Genomic DNA, 7248 nt, shown 5'->3' with positions numbered 1-7248 from the left:
CGTGAGCCACCACACCCGGCCACCAAGTAGCTCATTTTAACACAAACACGAAGATGTTGTTTTGCCCACTGGGACAAAAAATGCCAAGGGTACCTTTCACTTTATACCCAGGTAGATACTTTTAAATTGAGACAACCACTATGTTTGTGTGTTGGAGTTATAACTTTGGTTCTGTTTTTACCCTTTATTTGGAATACAGTGCAACATTACAGTTTTGGATCATTAAATGAATGGACTTGGTGATATAGTACTAACAAGCACGACCTGAATTCTGGGAGTAAGTGGTTTTCTAGTTCATGGGGGAGGAAAACAGATACGTGCAAGATCTCCAGAGGAGAACAGAACCATGGTACTCAGTGAGTCACCAAAGGGCTTTGGCTTCAACTCACTAATGGCTGGAACAAGTGCCAGTCTTGGTCAGCCATCCAGGATTTTCATCACAGCAAATCAAAATCTCCAATTTTTCAAACTAATTGTAGGTAGAAGAGAGAGAATAACTCCAAACTGTCTTATAAAAGGATCTAGATGACTACTGAAGTGTCCTCCATTCATGAGTTGGCAAAATCTTCAGAGTGACTGTTGGAGCAAGGAGCCTTTCATGTGCTCCCAGTTATTATATAGTGCATAGAGGCTGGTAAGTGTTAGTCCTGTCAGACCACCTCGTGCTATCCCTCGAAGACCACCTGGGAAACAGAGACAAAAGGAAAATGAAATAGCTGTATATTGCATAGTGCCCTAGCACGATAGGGTTAAATAAAAAGTACTGTGAAATGGGCTGGGCACGGTGGCTCAGGTAATCCCAGCACTTCGGGAGGCCGAGGTGGGTGGATCGCTTGAGGATAGGAGTTCAACCAGCCTGGCCAACATAGTGAAACCCTATTAAAAATTCAAAAAAATTGGCTGGGTGTGGTGATGTGTGCTTATAGTCCCAGCTACTTGGAGGCTGAGGCAGGATAATCACTTGAACCCAGGAGGCTGAGGTTGCAGTGAGCTGAGATCATACCACTGCATTCCAGCCTGGGCGACAGGATGAGACAAGTGAGACTCCGTCAAAAAAAAAAAAAAAAAAAAAAAATACTATGAAATGGAGAGACCATTTTAAAAATAAATCAATATTCCATCTCAAAAAGGAGACAACGTTTTTAAAGTAATACCACTTGTGTAATACATATGACTTAACATTTTCATATTCATAATTTTTTTCCCCCTACTTTCCAATTTGTTCCTATGGCAGTTTATTACGGAGTTCCAACTAGAACAGTCGTTTCCTGCTAGTAATATGATTTAGAACTCCACTAGCACTGTCAATGGATTTAAGTCTGTAATGTAAACAAGGTGACACCCTATTTGGAAAGAGTATTAACAACCTTTGGACTCTGGATGGGTCCTCCAAATATTAACCTTGAAGATTAGTGACGGCCAGGCATGGTGGCTCACACATGTAATCCCAGCACTTTGGGAGGCTGAGGCAGGCTTGAGCTCAGGAGTTTGAGAACAACCTAGGCAACACGGCAAAACCCTGTCTCTGCAAAAAATAGAAAAATTAGCTTAGTGGGGTGGCATGCGCCTGTGGTCCCAGCTATTTGGGAGGCTGAGGTAGGAGGATCGCTTGAGCCCAGGAGGTCGAGGCTGCAGTGAGCTGAGATTACACCACTGCACTCCAGCCTGGGTGACAGAGTGAGAAAGAAAAAAAAAATGTGGTAAGATAGCTATAATCACACTTTGAGTTAGATGCTGGTGACCACCCCCCACTTCATGCACTGACGCATCAATCTCCCACAATTAAAAAACAGTGAGTGACACCTAGCATCATGCTAGTTGAAAAGAACTCAAGAATTACAGATATTGAACTACCTGCTTGATAACAAGTGAACAATTTTACATGTGGCAAAAGATTAGCAACAAGGATTTCACTTGCAATGGAGAAACAAAAATATTTCAATCGGTTACTTAAAAATAGTCCCCAAGTGTAAATAAAAGGAAGCTACAGATAAATTTCTCAAAATAAAAAGGCCTAACTGCTTATGGTTATAAAATGTTAGTCTTACAAACGTAATGTGGCAAAGAGAAACCAAGCTACAAAACTCCTCAGGAATGGGGGTGCCCAAAGCAGCTTTTTAAAAAATGTGAAGTCCTCAAGCAGCTCCATGAGTAGGGATCATAAACTTCAGGTAGCCATCTTTGTACCTAGAGTGTATTTGTTCCAAGTCATGTGTTAGGGAGACAGAGGTAGAGCGGAGTTGTGGGGGTGGCTAGAGGCCCTTTTAGCTCCGTGCCTGTCAATTCTGTGACATTCAGTGATGTTGCTGAGTTACAACATTTCAGAACTAACCATTTCTGCAACGAGCGTCCTACCAGATGGCTTCAGCTGATGGATTAAAGGGCCACTCCCCCTCCAGGAATCTCTCCAGTCTGAAGACTTCTGATAGCTGACCTGCTTACGTTCTTCTTAGTTTTCCAATGCTAAGTGTCATAATTATCTCTCTCAAACAGAAACTGCAGACATTATCTATAAACAGCTGTCATGTAGGGGGACCAAAAACATTTTTAAGAAACCCAAAAAAACCCCACTAAAAGTATAACATGAGGTATCTCCTTGAAGTTCACATCATCTCTTTGTGAACTTGCCATATTCAGACTGTAGGCACAGCAATTAAACTTCCAACTGTATTCAATGTGGTTGAAAAATTGTACTAATTGGAAAATAGTGTATACTCAAAATAATCTGTTCAGTTTAATAAGGATCGACCTCATGTCTCTGCCTAGTAAATCAGTAAAAAGCTGCAGAGCTGAAAGTGAACTAGACCAAATTCCTAATGTGGAAAAAATAAGCCATGAGGCACAGGAGAATAAATGCTAAAGGTATCTGCAACAGCATTGCTATCGCTCAGTTATTAGATCTAATTTTGAGTGTAATAAGGATTCTTCCAAGCAGGTAGCCAAAATGTAGTAACTCAAAACCCCATTCTGAATGTAAGACCAAGCAATAGCCAAGGTGCCCTCACTGCTGTTTGTCAGTGGAAAAATGCTGGTGGGCCGGTAATTGAAAACACAATACTTTTGCAGACACTATTTCCTATAACCACACATTCAACTTCAGATTAACTCCCCTGAACCTATAAGTCAATAATCCACAGGACTGTGAAGTCAGTCCATGGGCTTTGGAAAGAGCTGCAAAACCACTGCTTCTAGCTGGTTCTTTGCTTTGTGCATTCTAAGAACATGGTATCTACTTGGCCCTTGTGGAAGGATTCTCACATTAGTTCTCAGCCATCAAATAACAAGCTTCCCTGGGAATCCTCTTTGGCATATGCACTAGGGGTAACATAGTGACAGTGGAATCTATAAGGCTTTAAGATACTTGGGGGCTGGACGTGGTGGCTCACACTTGTAATCCCAGCACTTTGGAAGGCCAAGGTGGGCGGACTGCTTGAGCCCAGGAGTTCAAGACCAGCGTGGGCAACATGGTGAGACCCCATCTGTTGCGGGAAGTCAGGGACCCCAAACGGAGGGACCGGCTGAAGCCATGGCAGAAGAACATGGATTGTGAAGATTTCATGGACATTTATTAGTTCCCCAAATACTTTTATAATTTCTTATGCCTGTCTTTACTGCAATCTCTAAACATAAATTGTGAAGATTTCATGGACACTTATCACTTCCCCAATCAATACCCTTGTGATTTCCTATGCCGCTGTCTTTACCTTAATCTCTTAATCCTGTCAGCTGAGGAAGATGTATGTCGTCTCAGGACCATGTGATAATTGCGTTAACCGCACAAATTGTAGAGCATGTGTGTTTGAACAAATATGAAATCTGGGCACCTTGAAAAAAGAACAGGGTACCAGCAATGTTCAGGGAATAAGAGAGATAACCTTAAACTTTGACCGCCAGTGAGCCAGGTGGAACAGAGCCATACTGTTCTTCCTTCAAAAGCAAATGGGAGAAATATCGCTGAATTCTTTTTCTCAGCAAGGAACATCCCTGGGAAAGAGAATACGCGCCTGGGGGTATAGGTCTATAGATGGCCCCCCTGGGTGTGGCCATCTTTTATGGTCTGTAGACTGTAGGGGTGAAATACACCCCAGTCTCCCATAGCGCTCCCAGGCTTATTAGGAAGAGGAAATTCCTGCCTAATAAATTTTGGTCAGACCGGTTGCTCTCAAAACCTTGTCTCCTGATAAGATGTTATCAATGACAATGGTGCCCGAAACTTCATTAGCAATTTTAATTTCGCCCTGGTCCTGTAGTCCTATGATCTCGCCCTGCCTCCATTTGCCTTGTGATATTCTATTACCTTGTGAAGTACTTGATGTCTCTGACCCACACCTATTCGCACACTCCCTCCTCTTTTGAAAATCCCTAATAAAAACTTGCTGGTTTTTGCGGCTTGTGGGGCATCATGGAACCTACCGACATGTGATGTCTCCCCCGGATGCCCAGCTTTAAAATTTCTCTCTTTTGTACCCTGTCCCTTTATTTCTCAAGCTGGCTGACGCTTAAGGAAAATAGAAAAGAATGTACGCGACTATCGGGGCAGGTTCCCCGATACCCATCTGTACAAAAAAATGTAAAGAATTAGCTAGGCATGGTGGCATGCATCTGTAGTCCCAGATATTTGGGAGGATGAGGTGAGAGGATTGCTTGAGCCTAGGAGGTGGAGGTTGCAGTGAGCCAAGATCGTGCCACTGTACTTCAGCCTGGGCAACAAAGCCAGACCTGGTCTCAAAAAATAAAAAAAAATTTTAAAAAGGCCTGGCATGGTGGCTCACGGCCTGTAATCCCAGCACTTTGGAAGGCCAAGGTGGGCAAATCACTTGAGGTCAGGAGTTCAAGACCAGCCTGGCCAACATGGTGAAACCCCATCTCTATTAAATATACACAAATTAGCCAGGTGTGGTGGCAGGCACCTGTAATCCCAGCTATGTGGGAGGCTGAAGCAAAAGAATTGCTTGAACCTGGTGGGTGGAGGTTGCAGTGAGCAAAGATTGCATCACTGCACTCTAGCCTCGGCGATACAGCAAGACTCTGTCTCAAAAAAAAAAAAAAAAAAAGATATTTGGGACACCAGTAACATATTAAATAATTTACTCCCCCAAAAGCTTTCTATTTTCTTGCCAAATGAATCAAAAACTTAGTTCAAATCGATGAAGTTACTTCTTAAAAGCCAGAGAGAAAAAAAATCAACTCCAACAAGACACTAAACATTGGTGTTTGTACTTATCACATAGCATCTTTACTCAAGGGTGGCCTTTTACCACATACCAGCCATGTTCTAATTGTAACTGTTTCCGTTAATTCCAGGGTTTCCCAATTGGTTGATGTGTTTGCAAGTTTAAGGGTCTCTAGGGTTTCTTTACTCAAACAACTCTACACAACTAAGCACAGGAAGTTGATAAGCAAAGGTACTTGCTTTGAACAGAGTAACCAAATAAGGCCAATGGTCAATCTCTATAAAGCAAAGCAAATATGACTTGTGTTTCAGTTTTACCTCCTGTATTTTGGGATCCTTATGTAGTTCTTCCAAAGCGATAGGCAAGCACCACCTCTTCTATACATGAGAAAATGAGGCCCAGAATATTTAAGTGCCTTGTTTGTGGGATATAGGGTTGATTAGTGGCAGAACTAATGCATTCAAATGACAATGACTTTAAAGCACAGATTAACATGTATCTTTTTTAAAAGGGCCAGATAGTAAACATTTTGGGCTTTGAGGGTCAAAGGCTATTGTTATGTAGGTACTTATATAACCATTTAAAACGTAACTAAAAAACGTAAAACACATTCTTAGCCTTCTCACAGCAAATAAACAGGCAGCTGGCCAGCAGGAGTTGGTGGCTCCTGTTCTATAGGAACAGCCTTACCTACATACTAACATGACTACTAAATGCCATTGTTGAGGACTGTCAGCAGCTGTCTTAAAATTTTAAAAAAACTTTATTCTTTTAAGAATTATGGTACAATACATGTAACATAAATTTTACCACCTTAACCATTTTTAAGTGTACATTTCAGAGGCATTAAGTACATTCACACGGCTGTGCTATTACCAACATCTACTTTTCCTTTATTTTTTCTTCTGAGACAGGGTCTTGCTCTGTCGCCCAGGCTGGAGTGCAGTGGTTTGGTAAAGGCTCACTGCAGCCTCGACCTTCTGAGCTCAAGTGATCCTCCCACAACAACCTCCTAAGTAGGTAGGACTACAATCATGCACCACCATACCGGGCTAAATTTTTTGTAGAGATGAGGTCTCCCTATATTACCTAGAGTGGTCTTGAACTCCTGGGCTCAAACAATCCTCCTGCCTCAGCCTCCCAAAGTGTTGAGACTACAGGCGTGAGCCACGGTGCTCTGTGTACCAACATCTATCTTCAGAGGACTCTTTTCATCTTGCAAAACTGAAACTCTCTGCCCATTTAGCAATAACTACACCCCATCCCAGCCGTCTTCCATTCTACTTTTTTTCTGTATGAATCTGACTATTCTAAGTACCTCACATGAATCTGACTATTCTAAGTACCTCACATTAGTAGAATCACACCATTTTTTTTTATAGATGGCCTATTTAGCATAATGTACTCAGAGTTCATCCATGTCTTACCATCTGTCAGAATTTCCTTTTTAAAGGCAGAATAATATTCTATTCTATGTATATACCACATTTTTCTTTTTTGGAGACAGGGTCACCTAGGCTGGAGTGCAGTGGCATGATCACGGCTCACTGCAGCCTTGACCTCCCCAAGCTCAAGTGATCTTCCCACCTCAGCCTCGGGAGTAGCATGTACCACCATGCTTAGCTCATTTTTTGTATTTTTAGTAGCTATGTTGTCCAGGCTAGTCTCCAATTCCTGGGCTCAAGCAATCTGCCCATTTGCCTGCCTTGGCCTCTTAGAATCTATCTTTTTTTTTTTTTTTTTGTTTGACACAGGGTCTCACTCTGTCGTCCAGGCTAAAGTGCAGTGGCACAATGAAGGCACACTGCAGCTTTGACCTCCTGGGCTCAGGTGATTCTCCCATCTCAGCCTTCCCAGTAATTGGGACTACAGGTGCCCACCACCAAGCCCGGCTAATTTTTTGTATAGACAGGGTTTCACCATATTGCCCTTACACTCCTGGACTCAATCTGCCCACATTGGCTTCCCAAAGTGCTGGGATTATAGACATGAGCTACCACACCCAGCCTGTATGGCTGTTGTGAATAATATGCTGTTATGAACATGGGCACACTAAACACCATTCAACTTAAAA

The 7248-nt window shown here is 42.4% G+C and overlaps 1 protein-coding gene across 3 annotated transcripts in view, besides 2 other annotated features; it reads right to left on the bottom strand.

Moving 5' to 3' along the window:
- Window positions 144-7248, bottom strand: part of TIMM23 (translocase of inner mitochondrial membrane 23) — a 31254-nt gene continuing 24149 nt past the window's right edge. For 2 of the 3 annotated variants that reach the window (NR_073030.2, NM_006327.4), the window contains one exon: window positions 144-683. Coding sequence is in view for 1 of the 3 variants with exons in the window: in NM_006327.4 (NP_006318.1) it covers window positions 568-683 (116 nt within the window). In the remaining 2 variants the exon portion in view is untranslated. Of the gene's footprint in view, window positions 684-1401; window positions 1526-7248 lie in introns of all 3 variants that reach the window. The other variant, NR_073029.2, reaches the window with a different exon arrangement.
- Window positions 1193-1487: an enhancer, noted in NCBI's record as "tiled region #10440; HepG2 Activating DNase matched - State 5:Enh". NCBI's record gives its function as "activates a minimal TATA promoter and a strong SV40 promoter by Sharpr-MPRA in HepG2 cells {active_cell/tissue: HepG2}" and the evidence as "EXISTENCE:reporter gene assay evidence [ECO:0000049][PMID:27701403]".
- Window positions 5389-5931: an enhancer, noted in NCBI's record as "NANOG hESC enhancer chr10:51396871-51397413 (GRCh37/hg19 assembly coordinates)". NCBI's record gives its function as "activates a minimal SCP1, AML or CMV promoter by ChIP-STARR-seq in naive and primed H9 embryonic stem cells {active_cell/tissue: H9 hESC(naive and primed)}" and the evidence as "EXISTENCE:reporter gene assay evidence [ECO:0000049][PMID:30033119]".

Source organism: Homo sapiens, chromosome 10 (assembly GCF_000001405.40).
Source record: "Homo sapiens chromosome 10, GRCh38.p14 Primary Assembly".
NCBI lineage: Eukaryota > Metazoa > Chordata > Mammalia > Primates > Hominidae > Homo > Homo sapiens.
The sequence above is the reverse complement of the archived record's forward strand: the minus strand, read 5'-3'. Positions and strand labels throughout refer to the sequence as shown.